Source organism: Homo sapiens, chromosome 6 (assembly GCF_000001405.40).
Source record: "Homo sapiens chromosome 6, GRCh38.p14 Primary Assembly".
Taxonomy (NCBI): Eukaryota; Metazoa; Chordata; class Mammalia; order Primates; family Hominidae; genus Homo; species Homo sapiens.
In genome coordinates this window covers 47,881,708-47,901,962 of record NC_000006.12, presented here as the reverse complement: position 1 = coordinate 47,901,962, position 20,255 = coordinate 47,881,708, and the positions used below count along the sequence as shown (strand labels likewise).

Genomic DNA, 20,255 nt, shown 5'->3' with positions numbered 1-20,255 from the left:
TACTGACTTGCTCATACTATTTTTAAGGCATCTCCACTGAATTTACCTCAAGCTAGAAACAAATTTAGTTTGGAAGAAAGAAAGGAGAGAAGGAAGGAGAGAAAAAACTGGAGAGGAGAAAAATATCACATTTGGAAGATTATATGTGAAGACTCCTAGGATACAATAAAATCATCATCATCGTCATCATCATCATCATCACCACCAATACCATCAGAGCAATCTGAGAGTTCATTCTAGTCTAAGAACCCAGCCCTCTATTTTTTGGAGGTTAAGTATCCTCCAGGTATTTCTTTCCTCCCTGTGCTTAACAGCTGTGTGTCTGTAACCCATACTGTCTTTTCTATCTCCCACCTGACTCCTCTCATGGGAAACTAAATTGGTTTAAATCATATGGAAGCATTATAAGTACTGTTTAGTGATGAAAATAAATTGATTCCAATCATATAGGTACTTTCCTAAATACTGACTGATGAAGTTTAGATGTGCTGTAATTTATAAATAAAATGAAGGAGGTTACCTGGCAATATGTGAGAGGGAGGAACAATTATCGTGTTTGAGATTTAAAGGAAAGAGTAATGAACACTTCCCAAATAATTCTATGAGATAAATATTACCCTGATACTAAAACCAGACAAAAACATCACAAGGAAGGAAAACTACAGGTTAATAACTTTATGAACTTGAGTGTAAAAATTCTCAATAAAATACTAGCAAGCCAAATTCAATGAACAAATGAGGTTTATTTCTATTTATTTTTATTTTTTTTTATTTTTATTTTATTTTATTATTTTTTTTTTTTGAGACGGAGTCTTGCTCTGTCGCCCAGGCCGGACTGCGGACTGCAGTGGCGCAATCTCGGCTCACTGCAAGCTCCGCCTCCCAGGTTCACGCCATTCTCCTGCCTCAGCCTCCCGAGTAGCTGGGACTACAGGCGCCCGCCACCGCGCCCGGCTAATTTTTTGTATTTTTAGTAGAGACGGGGTTTCACCTTGTTAGCCAGGATGGTCTCGATCTCCTGACCTCATGATCCACCCGCCTCGGCCTCCCAAAGTGCTGGGATTACAGGCGTGAGCCACCATGCCCGGCCCAAATGAGGTTTATTTTATAAATGCAAGAGTGGTTTAACATTTGAAAATCATTAACATAATATACCATCAATAGAATTAAGGTCAAAAACCGCATGGTCATCTCAATAGACAAAGAAAGGGCATTTGACAAACTCTAACAACATTTTATGACAACAAAATAACTCTCAACAAACTAGTAATAGAAGGGAACTTGCTTAATCTGATACAGATATCCATAAAAACCCAAAGCTAATATCATATTTAATGGAGAAAGAATGAACTTAAAAGTTGTACTTCAATGAATACCATCAAGAAAGTGAAAAACAAACTCACAGAATGGGAGAAAATATTTTCAAATTATCTATCTTATAAGAGACTTGTATACAGAATATTTAAAGGACTATTACAGCTTAATAATAAAAACACAACCCAATTTCAAAGTGGACAGAAGATTCGAATAGACATTTATTCTAAGAAGATAAACAAGTGGCCAAAAGTATATTTAAAATGCTCAAAATAATTAGTTATTAAAGAAATGCAAATCAAAACCACATTGAGCACATCATATCCATTAGGATGACTAAAATCAAGAAGTAAGGCAATAACAAGTATTGATGAGGTAGGTTAGGAACTCTTTACACATTGCTGATGAAAATGTAAATGATGCAGCTCTTTTGGAAAATAGTCTGACAGTTCCTAAAAATGCTAAACTTAGTATTAGCATTTTGATTCAGTAATTCCACTGCTAGGTATATACTCAAGAGAAATGAAAATATTTATCCACACAAAACTGTACAAATGTTCATAGCAATATTATTCATAATGGCAAAAGGTAGACACAATCCAAATGTCCATCAACTGATGAATGGAAACATAAAAAGTGGTATATGCATACAATGGAATATTATTCAGCCATTAAAAAGGAAACAAGTACTGATACATGCTCCAATATGGATGAGCATTGAAAATATTTTGATAAGTGAAAGAAGTCATGAAAGTGTACATAATTGCATGATTCTATATATATGAAATGTTCAGAGTAGGCAAATATGTAGAGACAGGAAGTAGATGAGTAGTTGCTGAGGATTGGTGGGTTAGGGGATGAAGCCAGGGAATGGAGTCACTGCTAATGATACAGAAGTTCTTTCAGGTTGATGAAATGTTCTGAAATTGATTATGGCAATCATTGCACAACTTTGTAGTATACTAGAAACTTTTAAATTGTACACTTTTAATCAATGAATTGCTTGGCATTATATCACAATAAAGCTGTTAAAAACAAACGGAAGGGGTTCACTTTCCATTTCTTTTTTTCTACTTCATTTGCAAACCTTATTAGGATAACATGCAAAGTTATTTCAGCAAATACTTGCTCACTAGACTCATTTTCTGTCCCTAATAAAATGAATTCAAACTCAAGAATCTTCAACAGCTATACAACATTCCACCTATGTTATGGAGCACAATAAAGGATTACTGTTCCCACAGCCATCTCACAAATACTGTCTCATTTGGTGTCCATCAGGGGAAATATTTGTATTCAATCTGTCAAAAACATGTCCTAAGCACCTGTGATAATTATAGTACAGTGAAAACTCAGGTATTTGGGAAAAAAGAGACATCAGATGTTATTTCATGGAGTTGGCAAAATAAGTGAAAGGGCAAGACCAAGATAGGAGCAACTAAGAAATATCTAACTATGCATTACATGGGAAAATTCCTGTGAGAATCCCAGGAGTTGTGGCGGATGTGATATTTTATAGACTTGCTATTGGAAGAAGAGTTTCTCCTAGACCTGTATCTGCTTTAGTATCTATCCCTTGCCTCTGGTAGGAGCAAATACTTTTCCACTTATGGATACTTCTAGTCTTCTCCCTGAAGGAAGAGTGTAAGAGGAAAGCCTTCCATTTCTTCATGAAAACCAATCACTGGATTTTTCTCCAGGGAGAGCATGACCCCTCTCATTGGAGAAACAGAGGGAATCTGACACCTAATGTCCCCAAAACCAGCAGGGACCTAAAAAGAAAGGACACTTGCTTCTCTTCTTCTTCTCTCTTTTCTTCTTTCCCCTTCTCTCTCTTTCCTTTGTTCTTACACCTTTTCATTTTCTCACGGGTGGCATGACCTCTCTCCTCTTGCAAGGGATTCGTGTCTCTCTGAAGTGACTTTGCCTTTAAATAGAAGTCGTCTACATCAAGTTGGGAGGTAGAAGTATCCTCCTATCTAGTTTACCACAAGCAAACTGATCAACTCATTGCTGCTTAGCTCAGGTCTTTGTGTTTACTTTATTTACAAGAATCCTTGAAAAAATGTGAGTGGTATCATGTAAACATTTAATTGTTGCTGAATTTCCAGCATTACTCATAAGATTGTCTTTTGCTGGCCCCATGCTTTCATTCTTGTTCAATAAGTAAAGTTCCTAAACACAGTATATGTTTAACAGTTTTGACTAATTACTGTGTATGGGAAATCACTGAGAAGCACAGGATCGGGTCTAATAATGGAAGTGGTGCTTTTTATGCAGAAATTTAAAAATTAATATTACACAACAAGTCTCTGGAGGTTACCCAAAATTTTAGAGACAGGATTATGATAGTTTAAAATGCAGTTTTTAGAATATAGAATGATGTTTTGAAAGGATGAAATGATGGCTGGGTGCAGTGGCTCACGCCTGTAATCCCAGCACTTTGGGAGGCCGAGGCAGGTGGATCATGAGGTCAGGATATCGAGACCATCCTGGCTAACACGGTGAAACTCCGTCTCTACTAAAAATACAAAAAATTAGCCGGGTGTGGTGGCACACGCCTGTAGTCCCAGCTACTCGGGAGGCTGCGGCAGGAGAATTGCTTGAACCCAAGAGGCAGAGGGTGCAGTGAGCCAAGATAGTGCCACTGCACTCCAGCCTGGGCAACAAAGCGACTCTGTCTCAAAAAAAAAAAAAAAAAAAAAAAAGAAAGAAAGAAAAAAGAAAGGATGAAATGATAACAGATATAGAATAAAAAACCGCAGCTTCAATGTGGTATATTTATGGCATGTCTATTAAGTTAGAGATGTACTCTCACTAGTCATCACATAGATATTGTGTGGCAATCCATCATCTCAATAAATCAACTCTCCTCCTTGCTAGGCTTTTTGTAGTAGAGAATACATCAAAGAAGCTAAATAAGAGTTAAGCTGTCATCCTTATAAATAAAAGCACAGTGTTGCCCAAAGTCCTTGGTAAAGCTGGAATAGAGACCTTATCTGGGACCAGAAGCCAATGTAGGAATCTCCACCTAACAAATCCAAAATCTAGATTTTCTTCCTTCACCTGAAGGGAGAATTAGGTCTTAATGACATCTCCCTCCCCAGGATTTACTTAGCAGCCAAGTACATGGAGGACTGTGGTTTGCCTCATAAATTCAGTTGCTGTTGGAGACAGAATGCCAGAGACCAATGTTAAGAGACGGGTGACTGGTATCCTTTTACAAAACAAGTCCAGGACTGCGTCATGCATGGAATGAGAAAGCTGAGAGCAAGCCTTGGCGCTTCTTACTTGTCTGTTATACAAGTAGTGCAGGAGAGAGAAATGAGATTCCACTTACTTACTGTTTTAGAGGAATAGCAGCCAACCTATTGATAAATTGCAGCAAGTGTTATCAGACTCTCATCATCAGGTCAGCAGTTCCCAGTGCTTGGAGAAGAATAGTTAAAGAGTGAAAAGAAGGAGTAGAAATGTTCTCTTTAACACTACCCAAATGAAAGTGGAGTAGGGGTCCCCAGTTCATGGAAACATAAGAAGTAGGGAACGATCATCTCCACCTCAAAATACTAGAACACCAGAAAACACGGGAGCTCAGAGGCACACATTCATTCCTCAATTTTACAAAAAAAACTAATATTTACTGAGTGCCAGGTACTGACATAGGAAAAGATGATACAGTAATGATGGCAAGACACAGTCATTGCCCTCAAGACTGATCCTCAAGGAGATCAGTCTCCTTACACTGGAGTAAGAGTCTGACGATTTGGGTTTTGGTCGTGTCTACCAAAAGAACTCTGTACATTTGCATGTCTCTGATTCTTCCAAGCCTCCATTTCTTAACCATTAAATGAGAGGAGAGTGTAATATGCCTGCCTCACAGAGAGTTAATGGGATTCAGATACAGCGGTGTTCTCCATGGTCCCTTTGTGTACATCTCCCCATTTAGTGGGTCCTTCCTTTGTACCTATCCTACTTTATCAATACCTTAGGAAAGAATATGAAAAACTCATTCACCCAAAGAAATAAAAAACTACTGTGCTTATAAAGTGAGTCTTCTCAGGAGTATTTACATTTTCATGGAAGATTAACTCCTAAAATTGAATATGGAAAATAATTTTCATGTATACATTTCCATGTAGTAACATCTTTTCTCAGCATTGAAGCGGCAGGCAACTCCACTAGCAAATCAAAATAACCCTTCTTCATGGAAAACAGCAATGTGGCAGAGAAAACCTATTTTTTTAAAGCATTTATTAGTTCATTCATAGACTCAGTAAACTTATCCAAAAAGAATTGTTAGGATACTCTGCCTCATAAGAGAGAAACGGGTTTCTTTCCTTTGAGGACCTCCACCGTTGGTGAAGACAGAATTTGTACAGTACTGACTGGACCACATTTGTCACAGAAATCATCTCAATCATCACATTAGAAGACAGTGTCACTACCCACTACAGTACAGAAAATGAAAGAAGTATAACAATTCACAGCAGGTAAATGTTCATCTCTCTGCCATCTTCCTTAACTGTAGTTAAGAGATGATCACAGGGGTTATCATCTACTTCTCCCCAAAACCTCAGTCTGCTTTTGAGCTTAACAAGTTTATCTACAAAACATCTTAGCACTAGATTCAAAAGTATTTGTTTAGTGCCCACTATCCGCATGACACTGCTAGGTGCTGAGGGGCAAATCAAAGGCACAGGCTTTGGTTTCAAGGCATTTTCATTGCTATATGATACTCCAAATGGAATCCTATGCAGACATCATCTGAGTAAAAGTTAAAGTAATGAGATGATTGACCTGGAGTAGAAGGAACATACCATGCTACTATCTCCAGTATTCGAAGTATGGGTATGTGGCAAAATACTTGGCATACGAGGATACAACTGGGAGCAAATTTTGGAAATTTAAGATGATGAATTCCAACTCTAAATATGGAAGAACTTTCCAAATTCTAGAAAATATCTGTGCAACTTATGTACTTGTTGGGCACGTGGAAGGAGGATACATATGTTAGAGAAAAAGTTGAATGTGCTCTCATGTAGCACCATGATTATGCATATGGTAGGTGTTTAATTAATATCTGCTGATTAGTTGTTTGATTTATTTGAAAGGCAGGCTATCTTATTGAAGATTCCCATGTCAATGTTAACTAATCTACCTCTTGAGAAATCTCAGTGAGTATCAAAGAGATAAATTTTACAAGCTGCTAACATGCTTTTATCAGCTCATTATTTAAAATTTCTGAAACCTAGGTTGTTGTCAGTCAATTATAAGTGAATATGGTCTGAAAAGAAACAATGTGGACCTGTTTTATTTTGTTCTGTAACTACTGAAAAAAACCCTAGAGTTTTTATATAGGTTTAGAAACCTTCAGATCATTTGTCTAAACTTTCTGGTAGTCACGTGGCCAAGCTCATCTTTCCCTGGGGTCCAGTTAGCTATTTTATCATCTTAGCTGTCTGCATGGGTCTTCATTTGACTGTTTTTATTATTGTTTCTTTTTTTTTCTTTTTTGAGACAGAATCTCACTCTGTCGCCGAGGCTGGAGTGGAGTGGCACAATCTCAGCTCACTGCAACCTCCATCTCATGGGTTCAAGCGATTCTCCTGCCTCAGCCTCCCCCAGTAGCTGGGATTACAGGCATGCACCACCATGCCCAGATAATTTTTTTGTATTTTTAGTGGAGACGAGGTTTCACCATGTTGGCCAGGGTGGACTTAAACTCCTGACCTCAGATGATCCACCTGCCTCAGCCTCCCAAAGTGCTGGGATTACAAGCATGAGCTACCACACCCAGCCCTTATTATTCTTTCTTGATGAATCTTTGCCTAATGCAAATGAGCAGGACGAAGTCCATGGACATTATCAAGATGGAAAGAAAGAATAAAATTTATCACAAGAGAGCAATAAATGTTCTGGCATGTTATCATGATTGACTTCATTTCTACTGATAGCTTCAAGAATGAATCTTAGAAATGTATTTTGATATACTGTGAGTATATAGCCAAGACCCCAAATGAATGTTCATCCATAAATAAAAATGATGGCTAACATTTATTGAATGTTTAGTAAGTGCCAAGGGCACATTATACAGATTATCTCGTTTACTGTTCTCAGCAACACAGTAAGATAGGAGTTTGCATTCTTTGTCTTGCATATGAGGAAGACTACATGGAGCAGTTTCTTGTTGAAGGTTATCTAGTTGGGAAGTAACACAGATGGGGACTGAACCTGGCATAAAAACCAGAGCTGGTGCTCCAGACCCCTCTGCCGTGTTGCTATCTTCCCCACCTGCTATCCTCAATTCCCTGACTTCAAGAATTAACATCAAATATTTTTTGAAAGAACTTCTGTTTATAAATTTATGTTGTAATAAGGCCAAGGCTAAGCTGTGGACTGCTGAAAGGGGACTGATTGCAGCAAACTGTGGTGAGAAGAGGGCCTTTTCCATTTGAAAGGAAGCCTGTACTGTACTCATCAGGAATAAGTTCAATTGACTCCTGCTCCTGCCATTTCTGAGAGAGTCCTCTGGCAAGGGTCTTCCTGCCCCATGGGCTGATAGAACTCAGCTGGCTGCCCAGCAACTCAACCGTGTTCTCCTCCTGAGTGTGAATGGTTTGCTGTTATTTGCAGAATAAATTAGAGATGAGAAAGCTCTTTTTCAGCTTCACCCTACCAAATGAAAACAACTCAGCTTATTCTGAATAAGAACATACATATAAGGAATGCCTCAATTAGTTTAATCCAATTAACTAAACCCTTTGTTAATCAGCATTTTTCCACAATTAACTTCTAAAGACAAAAAAGACAAATTTCAAAATAATCAGAGAAGAAAACTTTAAAACTCTGCTCTAGGCCTGGTACACATTCAACTTAAATTCCTATGCTGCTACAACTATATAATATTACTCAGTAATAGTTAACATTTAAGGGAGCACAGTAATTGTGTACCAGATATTTGTACTAAGGGACTCATGTATCTGTGTTTCATTTAACACAGCAAGTCTTTGAAGCAGATACTGTTATTCTCTCCATTTTGCAGGTTAGCAAATCGAGCCATGGAGTAGTTCATTTGTCCATCTAATAGATGGTAGTGAAGAAATGTAAACCCACATAGCCTGATGCCTTGACTCATATACCATATTGCCTCTTGATTATTAATGCATGATAAAATGATGACTCCAAAGTATATTATTCAATATATGGAGCCAGAACTGGGACCAAAATGCCTGACTCCACAGTGCATCTTTTTAGTTGCTACACATACAACCTTTTCTTTTTGTCAGGACTAGATACAGAAGAGGAACAAAAGTCTAACACATTTTAGAAAAATCTCTACAACCTGGTCGTTGTGGCTCGCGCCTGTAATCCCAGTACTTTGGGAGGCTGAGGTGGACAGATCATGAGGTCAAGAGATAGAAACCATCCTGGTCAACATGGTGAAACCCCATCTCTACTAAAAATACAAAAATTAGCTGGGCGTGGTGGCACACGCCTGTAGTCCCAGCTACTCGGGAGGCTGAGGCAGGAAAATCGCTTGAACCCGGGAGGCAGAGGTTGCAGTGAGCCAAGATCGCACCACTGCACTCCACCCTGGTGACAGAGCGAGAGTCCATCTCAAAAAAAATAAAAAGATCTCTAATAAAGTTAATCAACCAATCAGAGTTGAATCAAAAAGGAAGTTCTGGTTGATTAATTTAATGACTATTCCAATGATCAGAATCATCCCATTCCTGAACTTTTGGGTTAACTGGTTTTCCATTGGCTTCAGGGCATTCTGTTCAGAAAAAAATCCAGCTGTGGAATGTTTTTATTTCATCTTCATTGGGAAGAAAGGCCACAAAACATTCAGGGATGCCCCTTAAAACTTGTCCTTTGAAGCATTATGCTTTTATCAAGCATCTGTGCTACAGCTTTGAAGATTTTTCTCTTGAATCATATTTAGTAGAAATCAAAGCTGTGCATAATCTAAGTTTGCAAAGTAAGAGTCCTTCCATTTCATAAATACATCCTAATGATTGAATCAGACATTTTAAAAACATTCTCCAGCTTTTGCTATTGTAAAAATCCTAAGTCAGCATCCATTTTACTCTTTATAGGATAAAAGATCTCCAGAGCTTGCAATTAATGAACTGTTAAATTCAGGCATATGGATGTGATATGGTTTTCAAATGGGACAAAAAGAAGTTATTAAACTTTAAAGTGATGACATTTTACCATATCTTACCGGGCAGCACTCAGGAAATGTCCTTCAAATGAAAGAATTAATTTTTATTCCCTAAATGATCCCTCAACAAATGATAAGATTGTCATAATTGTTATTTCTGCAAGTTCTTGTATTTATTATTTTCTTTTTTATTCTAGGTCTTAATTTTTAAAGTATATGCTTGTATTTAGTTTATAAACTACCAATTCCTTCCTCTTGACCATTGTAAGATTTTCAGCCCCACTCCAGATTATTCCATTCATTGCTCTTCTCTGCCTAAAGCAATGAATTTTTAGTTCCACATGGCTCCTCCTCCCTCCTCCTATGTTAATATTCATGTTATCATCTTCTCAAAATAACTTCCCACTTCTCATATGCCCAACTGGCATTCTCTTTTCAGTGATAACACAACTAACATATTACCAGGAAGCCATCCCTTTTAGTGGTGGCATGGTTTGGATATTCAAATCCTTCTGGGCTTAACTCTCACCCAATGTTCCTGTTATAACTCCTATACTCAAATGAAACTTACTTATAAATCAGCAATGACAACAAAAGTTTTAGTGCATTTTATTTTCCAAAAATATTTGTTATAAAATACCAGCATCCTCCAGCCAGACCACCAAGAATACTACTATCATTGAACACATTTAGGTTTATTGACTAATTACAATGAGGAAAAACCCACGCCATCGGGGACCATGGAGTATTTTAGGAAGAAGGTATTAAAATGGACTTATATGACTGTTGCAAATGTTAGATGATTTGGAAGAGAATTCAAGGGAGCATGGTTGTTTACTGTCAAGAAGAGAGGGTAGTTCTATGACTGGTTATCTTAATAATAGTTATCTTAGTAATTATTATACCTAGATGGAGAAAATACTAGAGTAAGGGTAAGCCGTGATTGGTAAAGGAGGGCCAATTACCACTACCACTTTTGAAAGGAAGAGATTTAGTCCATTTTACGTTTTGGGCAATGTTTGTGTTTTTTTCAGATTTGGTTCTGATTATGGAGGGGTCTCGTTTTGTCTCGGTTCATGCCGGTCACAGAATGGCCTTGTCTGATGCTGTTTTGCGAGGTTGTCTGTGGTCGAGAAGATAACACTCAACACAGCTGGGAGTGCCAGAACAACTCCTGGCAGCACCATGGCCTACTTGACAGCACCCAGCCCTCAGAGGCTGCATTTCTTTCCTCAATCTTTTTTTTTTTTTTTTTTTTTTGAGACACAGTCTCACTCTGTCACCCAGACTGGAGTGCAGTGGCATGGTTTCAGCTCACTGCAACCTCCACCTCCCAGGTTCAAGCAATCCTCCCACTTCAGCCTCCCAAGTAGCTGGGATTACAGGCATGCGCCACCACACTCAGTTAATTTTTTGTACTTTTTTTTTTTTTTTTTAGTTGATGCAAGATCTCACCATGTTGGCCAAGCTGGTCTCAAACTCCTGACCTCAAGTGATCCACCAGCCTCAGCCCCCCAAAGTGCTGGGATTACAGGTGTGAGCCACAGTGAACGGCCCATATTCATTTTCGAAAACTTGAAAAGCATGGAAGGTACAGAGAAAAAAATTGAAAACTTCCTGATAGTGGCTATTTAGCAGGGAAAGAGAGAGAGCAGGAAAGCAAGCCATCCTGTGTGTGCTGGCTCTGCAGTGGTGCTTCATCTTTTGGCAGCACCAAGGCCCTGCAGCAAGGAAAGCTGAAAAGAGAGCTCCGGGAATCCCCCCCCTTACAAAGCCAACTCAGCTGGGGCAGTAAAGACATCAGTAACCAAGCTGCATTCAGAAGTTGGCATTCCAAGTCCAACAATTTGGAACGTTCTCCATGACAGTCGTCCTGCAGTTGGCAGCACTGTGCTTTTCCATTCAATGTAGCACTTACTGTGTTCCAAGCACATGTACTAACTTATCTAAAACGCCTAACAATCCCATGAGGTACATCTCACTGTCACCCTTTTTTACAGATGAGGAAACAGATACGTGGAGGCTTACAAAAACGGCCTGAGGTCACAGATCTCAGAAGTAGGAGATATGGGATTTAAACACAAGCAGTCTGTTCTGGGGGAATTTGCTACTAACTACAATATCAAATCGTGTTAATTACCAAGTTTGGCCCACTTTGAGTATGAAAATCTTGACTGCAATTGTCAAGAAGTTTTAGGGCATCCCCATCTCCCATCTCTATTGCTATTTCTCTTCTCACTTTTTCTCTCCATATATATATATAATATATATAAAAACATACAAATTTAGGTGTATTGACAAATATACATATATACACACACAGACACACATGCATACATAAACACACACACATATACTATATATGCATATATGTGTGTATACGTATGTGATATGGGTGTATATCTGTATATATGCACAAACACACACACACACACATATATATATATACACACATACACTGGATCTTTAAGTTTTTTATACTACATAGAACTACAAAATAAATTCTGGATATTAGCCCTTTGTCAGATGAGTAGGTTGCGAAAATTTTCTCCCATTTTATAGGCTGCCTGTTCACTCTGATGGTAGTTTATTTTGCTGTGCAGAAGCTCTTTAGTTTAATTAGATCCCATTTGTCAATTTTGTCTTTTGTTGCCATTGCTTTTGGTGTTTTAGACATGAAGTCCTTGCCCATGCCTATGTCTTGAATGGTAATGCCTAGGTTTTCTTCTAGGGTTTTTATGGTTTTAGGTCTAACATTTAAGTCTTTAATCCATCTTGAATTGATTTTAGTATAAGGTGTAAGGAAGGGATCCAGTTTCGGCTTTCTACATATGGCTAGCCAGTTTTCCCAGCACCATTTATTAAATAGGGAATCCTTTCCCCATTGCTTGTTTTTCTCAGGTTTGTCAAAGATCAGATAGTTGTAGATAATATCCAGAATCTACAATGAACTCAAACAAATTTACAAGAAAAAAACAACCCCATCAAAAAGTGGGTGAAGGACATGAACAGACACTTCTCAAAAGAAGACATTTATGCAGCCAAAAAACACATGAAAAAATGCTCATCATCACTGGCCATCAGAGAAATGCAAATTAAAACCACAATGAGATACCATCTCACACCAGTTAGAATGGCAATCATTAAAAAGTCAGGAAACAACAGGTGCTGGAGAGGATGTGGAGAAATAGGAACACTTTTACACTGTTGGTGGGACTGTAAACTAGTTCAACCATTGTGGAAGTCAGTGTGGCGATTCCTCAGGGATCTAGAACTGGAAATACCATTTGACCCAGCCATCCCATTACTGGGTATACACCCAAAGGACTATAAATCATGCTGCTATAAAGACACATGCACACGTATGTTTATTGCGGCATTATTCACAATAGCAAAGACTTGGAACCAACCCAAATGTCCAACAATGATAGACTGGATTAAGAAAATGTGGCACATATACACCATGGAATACTATGCAGCCATAAAAAATGATGAGTTCATGTCCTTTGTAGGGACATGGATGAAATTGGAAATCATCATTCTCAGTAAACTATCGCAAGAACAAAAAACCAAACACCGCATATTCTCACTCATAGGTGGGAATTGAACAATGAGATCACATGGACACAGGAAGGGGAATATCACACTCTGGGGACTGTTGTGGGGTGGGGGGAGGGGAGAGGGATAGCATTGGGAGATATACCTAATGCTAGATGACGAGTTAGTGGGTGCAGTGCACCAGCATGGCACATGTATACATATGTATCTAACCTGCACAATGTGCACATGTACCCTAAAACTTAAAGTATAATAATAATAAAACAAAAACAAAAACAAACAAACAAACAAAAAACTACAAAATAAATTGTCAAAATGACTGAATGCAAACTCTGGATGAGACTATATGTCTTTTATCTATACACTAAGATATATATATAAAATATACAACTGCTCTGAAAATTATACAATGAGAATCTGCTACTAAGTTTTATTTTTTCTTATTAGAGACCTAATAAAATCCTGTAACCTCCTGAGTGCTAAGGACTGAGTGTCTGTTCATGCTCATAATTATTTCCTCTTTTCTTTGCAATATTCTGCTCCTTTTCCCATCTACTCTTTTTTTTGGGGACTGAGTCTCGCGCTGTCGCCCAGGCTGGAGTGCAGTGGCGCTATCTTGGCTCACTGCAAGCTCCGCCTCTCGGGTTCACCCCATTCTCCTGCCTCAGCCTCCCAAGTAGCTGGGACTATAGGCGCCCACCACCACACCCGGCTAATTTTTTGTATTTTTAGTAGAGACGGGGTTTCACCATGTTAGCCAGGATGGTCTCGATCTCCTCACCTTGTGATCCACCTGCCTCGGCCTCCCAAAGTACTGGGATTACAGGCTTGATCCACCATGCCCGTCCCTACTCTCTGCTCTTTACTCTGACTCATTCTGTACTGGGATGGGAATATTTCAAGTGAAGTCACTTCTTGCTTAAGGACAAGATAAAGCGAGGCCCTCCCTCATTGAACAACATTATCAAAGGTTTCCAGGTAAAACCATCATACATGTCCCTGGCAGTAGCAGCTTAGAGAATTCCTGTTAAACACCCCCTACCCTTTGTGGGCTATATAAGAACCAAGAGGTAGAAGCTTTGGCCATTGTATAAATTGAGCAACCTTTGGGGCTTGATAATCATCTATTTACTTTAGATGATACTAAATTAGAAGCAGTCAGTATACAAATACACACTGATCATCACCTCAAGACTAGACATTATGGGGATTAGAAAATATCTAAAGAGTTCATCATCTCTCAGGCAAAAGGAGTGTCTTATGAACCTGTTTCTACCCTGTCAAAGAACAACATAGAACAAGTAATTTCATTTCATATTCCATTCTCTGTTAGATATCCATAATCCTGAACCAGCCAAATTAATGAATAATATGCTAATTTCCCAATTAGGTATAATTGACATCTATTTCCACCTCTGTCAATGTGAACTGAACAGAGGAGGAAATGGGAGAAAAATTCAGAATCACTGGGTGACACTCAGCAAGTTTCCTTCTCAGTAAAATGAGGCAAATAATATCTATTTCACAAAACCCATTGCTGAATATAGGGCTGTTAATAATAATTATTGTAAGAACTAATGATAAATAGTAACATTTATTATTATTAAAGTTATAATTTATATTTAATTCCTCAATAAATTTTATAAGTTATATAAAATAATTCTATTAAAAATGTATAGAGTAAATTACATAAAATATATTAAATATAAATTAATATATTTATATAGATTATACCTATTATTGTTAATCTAGTAAGTATCATTACAATAATAACTATTACAAGAAGAATGTGTTCAAATATCTTTAAAATTTCTACATGTAGATCATGGCCAATTCAGTTTTAAAAACATTTATTGAGCATTTACCATAAGCCAATAATTAATATACAAAAGTGAAAAAGGCAAGTGCCTAACCTGGCCAGTGAAGAGTTTCTGGACTGGCTAAAAGATGGGCCCACCAACGGGCAATCTCAGTCTAGCGTATAGTAAGTACTGTGATTTGGGTTGGAATACAGGGCAGAGATGTCTAAGTTGGTGGAATGCGGGTGAGTAGGGCAAGCGGAAAGTGTTAGAGATCACGCATGTTCGAGTGGTGAGATTATGCTTGAGAACATGCTAAGTAGGAATCAGCCAGCTAAAGAGAAGGAACAATGGATAAATGATCCCACATAATGCCAAAGAAGTGAACAATAACTTAAAATACTGATGTATTATCCAGACTTTTTTGCATCTGCTTTGCTGGACTGAGTTTTCAGTTGATTGTGGTTTTATTTTTTTTATTCATTATTCATTCATTTAGTTGGCATTGGGATGTCACGATCGGGGGTGATTTTCACAAACACAATTATTGAAAGTGTAGCTAACCAAATGAAGAAATAACTTCTAAGGGAAAGTAGTAAGCTTTCTTTGGAACAGGTCATAAAAAGGAGTATTTTTTTTTAACCTCTATTTCTTACGTCTCTCATATCGGTGTCAAGCTTTCATATCTTGATTAGCATGTTCAAGTGAAAAGGAAAACCCACCAGTATGTCTTCTGAAGGCAAATGAGAATTCTAATTCTGCTGATTAAAATAAACTAGAAACCCACAGATCATGCTTATTAAAGCAACATAGCAAAGAAAAACTCAGTAGAGAGCATTAATTGAGTCAGTTACAATTAGTTCCAATTGAATTTCATCCTCGTTAAAAGTATTTTCTTTGGAATTGTAGGTTTTGGAGAGATTGAGTGTAGGATTAAAATGGCAACTGTAAAAATGATATTGGATTTATAGAACAACATTGCTCTGGGAAAAAAAAAAAAAAAAATCTTGCCATCGCCGTGGCTCGCGCCTATAATCCCAGCACTTTGGGAGGCCGAGGCGGGCAGATTACTTGAGGTCGGGAGTTTGAGACCAGCCTGGCCAATGTGGCAAAACCCATCTCTACTGAAAATACAAAAATCAGCCAGGTGTGGTGGCAGGTGCCTGTAATCTCAGTTACTCAGGAGGCTAAGGCTGGAGAATTACTTGAACCCGGGAGGCAGAGGTAGCAGGGAGCTGAGATCTCGCCACCGCACTATGGCCTGGGTGAAAGAGTGAGACTCCGTCTCAAAAAAAAGAAAAAAGAAAAACTTCTCTTTAGGCCTAACTACGTCACCAGAGAGTTTTCCTACAGCAATGTTAGATGCAATTACAATATGGAAGCTTACATTAGAAGAGTAGGAGTTTGGAAAAAATGTTCTTAAAGGAAGGCTGGAGCTGTTTCTCAGAGAAGAACCATCTTACTTTAGAAGTCATCTTTATTTGTTGGAGAATGATTACTAGAAGCTCAAACGGAATTATAACCAGTTCTGAGTGCTCCCCACCTCACTGAGGACTGGTATCAGTTTTGTTTGGTAACAATAATTTTTTTTTAATTTAAAAACACTTAAATATTCACTCTGGCAGACCTGCACGACCATGACCATGAAGAACCTTCATGATCTTTATCTTTTTCATGTGGCTCAATTGCAAATAGCAGAACTTACCAAATCATTGTTAAATGGGGGCATGTTAGCAAGCTGCCATGTAGGTTTTCCTTATTGTTACACCATGCTTCTAATTGCTTTCATTTGGAAAGAGAGCTCCCCATCAGCATCCCATCAGACTTGTGGAGTACTCAATACACACACACACCCCCTTATTATTTCTATTCATCTCCCTCCTTGAATTTTTCTCCCAGTTTTTCCTCTGTCCAACTCTTTTTTACCCTTAAGAACTCTCTCTTTTATTTCAAAAAACTGTGCTAAAGGAAATATTAGTCATCTAATAATGTCCCGAGTGAGTTACTTATTATATTAATCTAATGCAGTGTGCAAATATATACTAATGTAATTCAGGGAAATCATGACCAAAGTGTGGCAGTCAGATTTTGGAACATAAATCAAAAATATACTGTGGACAATAGTATACCAGCTCGCTATAGCAGTGAGCTAATCTCTACTGAGGGAAAAAAAATAACAATTATAAACTTTAAACACACAACTACCTCTTCATAGTTTACAGGGGTTTTTGTCTCTATTCATGTTATCCCATCAGCCTAAACTGTCATTAACATCATCCTCTGCCTAAACCTTTTGAAGCTTTCCCTGATCCCTCAGGAAGAATCAGCCGCATTTTCATGGTACACAGCATACAGCCCTACTTAGTAAGAACAAAATTCCTCTTTATATATTAGGTAACTGCATGTAAAACAAGTCCAGAACTTGAATGGAGTTGTTCTTAAAACAAGCAGTGGCCTCAGGTGAGAATTAAAGATTTTGGTGGGAAAATGGGACAGACTCAAAGAACAGTTAGGACTGGGTACTGGGAAATAATATAATGTAGTTCCAATCATCATTCAGTGGGGCATGTCACATTTATATGTGATCCATGCATCACCTGAATTGGTGGGCCACCAGTGTCTTTGGGGTGGACACTGGTGCATCAGTTTGAGGTGGATTACTTGAATTGGATTAAGAATCTCTGAGTAAGGGTGGAACTGCAGGGAATAAAATACTATTAGAAAAAGCTAAAGAGAAAATTGGGGCTTCTTTCAAGAGAGCAGATGCTCGAAAAATGGTTCCAGCCTCAGAATGGAAACCAAAGTGAAAAGTAAGAAACAAAGACAGAAAACACTGCAGAAATTGGAAAACAGACTCTCCATGGTTGATTGGCATCTGGACAGAGTTGCAAGAGTAATCCTAAATTCTAATTTTTGGTTGGTAGCAATCCAGTTCTTTGAATTAGTTATATAGGTAGTTACCTATCTGAACAGATGGGTAGATACATAAATGAATATATACATACATACATACACACACACACACACACACATACATACATAAGCTTGGAAGATAAATAAACAAATGACTGGAATAAATTCTTGAAGTTGTTAACAGCAGTTTTCTGTGTTACGGGATTCTGGAATAATTTGTTTCACCACTATTTTTCATCTTTCCCAAATTTTCCATGGAAATGTATCCTGATTTTATAATCAGAAACAGATAATTAAGTATGTGTGTGTATGAGTGAGTATATTATTTCTTTTTCTTTTGACTAAACCAATAATTTTCAATTGAAGCCAAATTTGCCCCACAGGCAACATTTGACAATGTCTGAAGAAATATTTGGTTGTTATAACTGTGGGGTGTGCATCTGGCATCTAGTGGGTAGTGGAATGGTGCTAAACATCCTCCAAAGTTCATGACAGTCCCCGACAATAAAGAATTATCCAGCCCAAAGTGTCAATAGTGCCCAGTTGGGAAACCCTGGATTAAACAAATAAAACTTTTATTAAACTTTTATCTCTCCATACAATTAATTCCATTGATACTATACACAGTTATTTCATATTAATTAATTAAAGTTATTTTAAAGTCTAAAATCCTAGTAATATCTAGCATTTTAATAAATATAGACATTCTAAATGCATTAGCAGGAACTTAAAATAAATAATTATGCTGTTTTCACAGTAGTATATTTTCTCATTATACGACAATAGAAGTAACATCTACAAAAAGAAAACTCACTCTGACATATTCTCTTCTTTATTCATGCTCTTGCTTCTTTATTTTTAGAGAAGTATTGATGGCTTTGTTACAAGTGCCAATATAATTTTTTAGGTATATATCCCTATTTTTAAAGCAGTTGCATTAGAAGCTATAATCTTGGTCTCAGAATTACTTAAGTGAAAATGACTTTCTGGACAGTTGTTGAAAAAGATTGTGTTCCTTGTTTACCCTTATATCTTATATATCGGCTAGCAAAAGTTATTATATAACAAACTCTAAATAAATATATATTGCATTGAATGAAAGTAAATAGTATATAGCTCTTCTGGATACAATCGATATTTATATAGGTACAAAGATGTATAATAAATTTTAGAATAAGTAATAAAAAGATCTATTTTTGGACCCATCTAGAATCAAGAATTATAGTTTATTTAATTCAAAAAGAAGTTAATGGGCATCTTTTGGGCATCTATCACTTTACCAGATGTCCTGCAGAGTATAAAAGTAAGATAAAATGCATTCCCTAGCCATGAAGAATTTGCAATCCAACCAAGAGATAGAACATATCTTGAGAAAACCATTTAATTCCAGAGCAAAACAGCACATGGTTGTGGGCCAAAATGAGTGACTAGTTAGGGCAATAAAAATTTAAGGAATATATATATATATATCACTGGAATCATTAGAAATGGATTCATAGCAAATAGGAGACTTTAACTGACCCTTAACAGACCAATGAATAGAATTTTAATATGACCAGAATTGAGGAAAGTATTTTAAGGGACAGAAAATAACATAAACAAAGCTAAGAAGATAAGACTAATGAGGAACATGCACACAGGGCAGTGAAAGAGTTACCTTGACTGGAGCAGGCAATACATTTGAACTGCTAGAAAATGGGCAGATTATTGTGACAGTCAAATGAGTGAATATCAGTAGGAAAATCCTATAAAATATCTAAACATATGAGTGGGATAAAACACGCCATCTCCAAACAAAGTTTGGAAATTGTATTTTCAGTCTCGACCACATTTAAAGTGATTACCTAATCTAATATGGTTTAGTATCATCTTCCTACACCTACAGGCCTTTGTACTACATAAAGCAAAAATCTGGCCTACATAGTGTACCTAATGTTCCATAAAAATGACCACTATCAAAGGCAAGCCAAATTTAGCTGTAGCTCTATGTAGCCTTTCCCCACCTTGTGACTACAAAGATAGCAGGAGTCCTCATTTCTGAAGAGAGATGCTCTCATTAAAGAATTATTTTAATTACCTTAACCCTTATTCTAACATTGTATTTTAGTCAAGGGAATAATAGAGCAAGTACTGTATTCTGTCTCTTCAAGGAGTTTTGCCGAAGATAGGAATGAACAATTAACATTGTTAAGAATCATTAGACTAAATGTAATACACATATGTTGAGCTCCTGATAAAATGCAAGAAGGAACAGTTCATGACCTCCAAATGAAAAAAACGTGCCTTTTCCTAAATGCAGTTTACACGAACCTTTCTACTTGTTATGATAAACTCATCTTTCCTGATTGGAGACCCGTAAGAGACAGCTTTGAAGAATAAATAGGCTTTACATTAGCGGTAAAAAGAATTCCAATGCCTAGCTTCCTTTAGTAGCTATTAATAATTGATAAAAACTACCAAAAGTTTGGCCAATGTGTCTTTAAAAATCAAATATTTGCATTATA

General features: G+C 37.4%; 1 protein-coding gene across 9 annotated transcripts in view; it reads left to right on the top strand.

Moving 5' to 3' along the window:
- The window catches only part of PTCHD4 (patched domain containing 4), a 254,525-nt gene that overhangs the window by 209,235 nt on the left and 25,035 nt on the right, over positions 1-20,255 (top strand). Inside the window, exon 3 of one of the 9 annotated variants that reach the window (NM_207499.2) lies at positions 28-2,354. The exons of 7 other annotated variants lie outside the window; for them this stretch is intronic. In NM_207499.2, the coding sequence (NP_997382.2) occupies positions 28-56 (29 nt within the window). In that variant the 3' untranslated portion in view covers positions 57-2,354. Of the gene's footprint in view, positions 1-27; positions 2,355-20,255 lie in introns of those variants that run through there. One more of the 9 variants, NM_001410910.1, reaches the window with a different exon arrangement.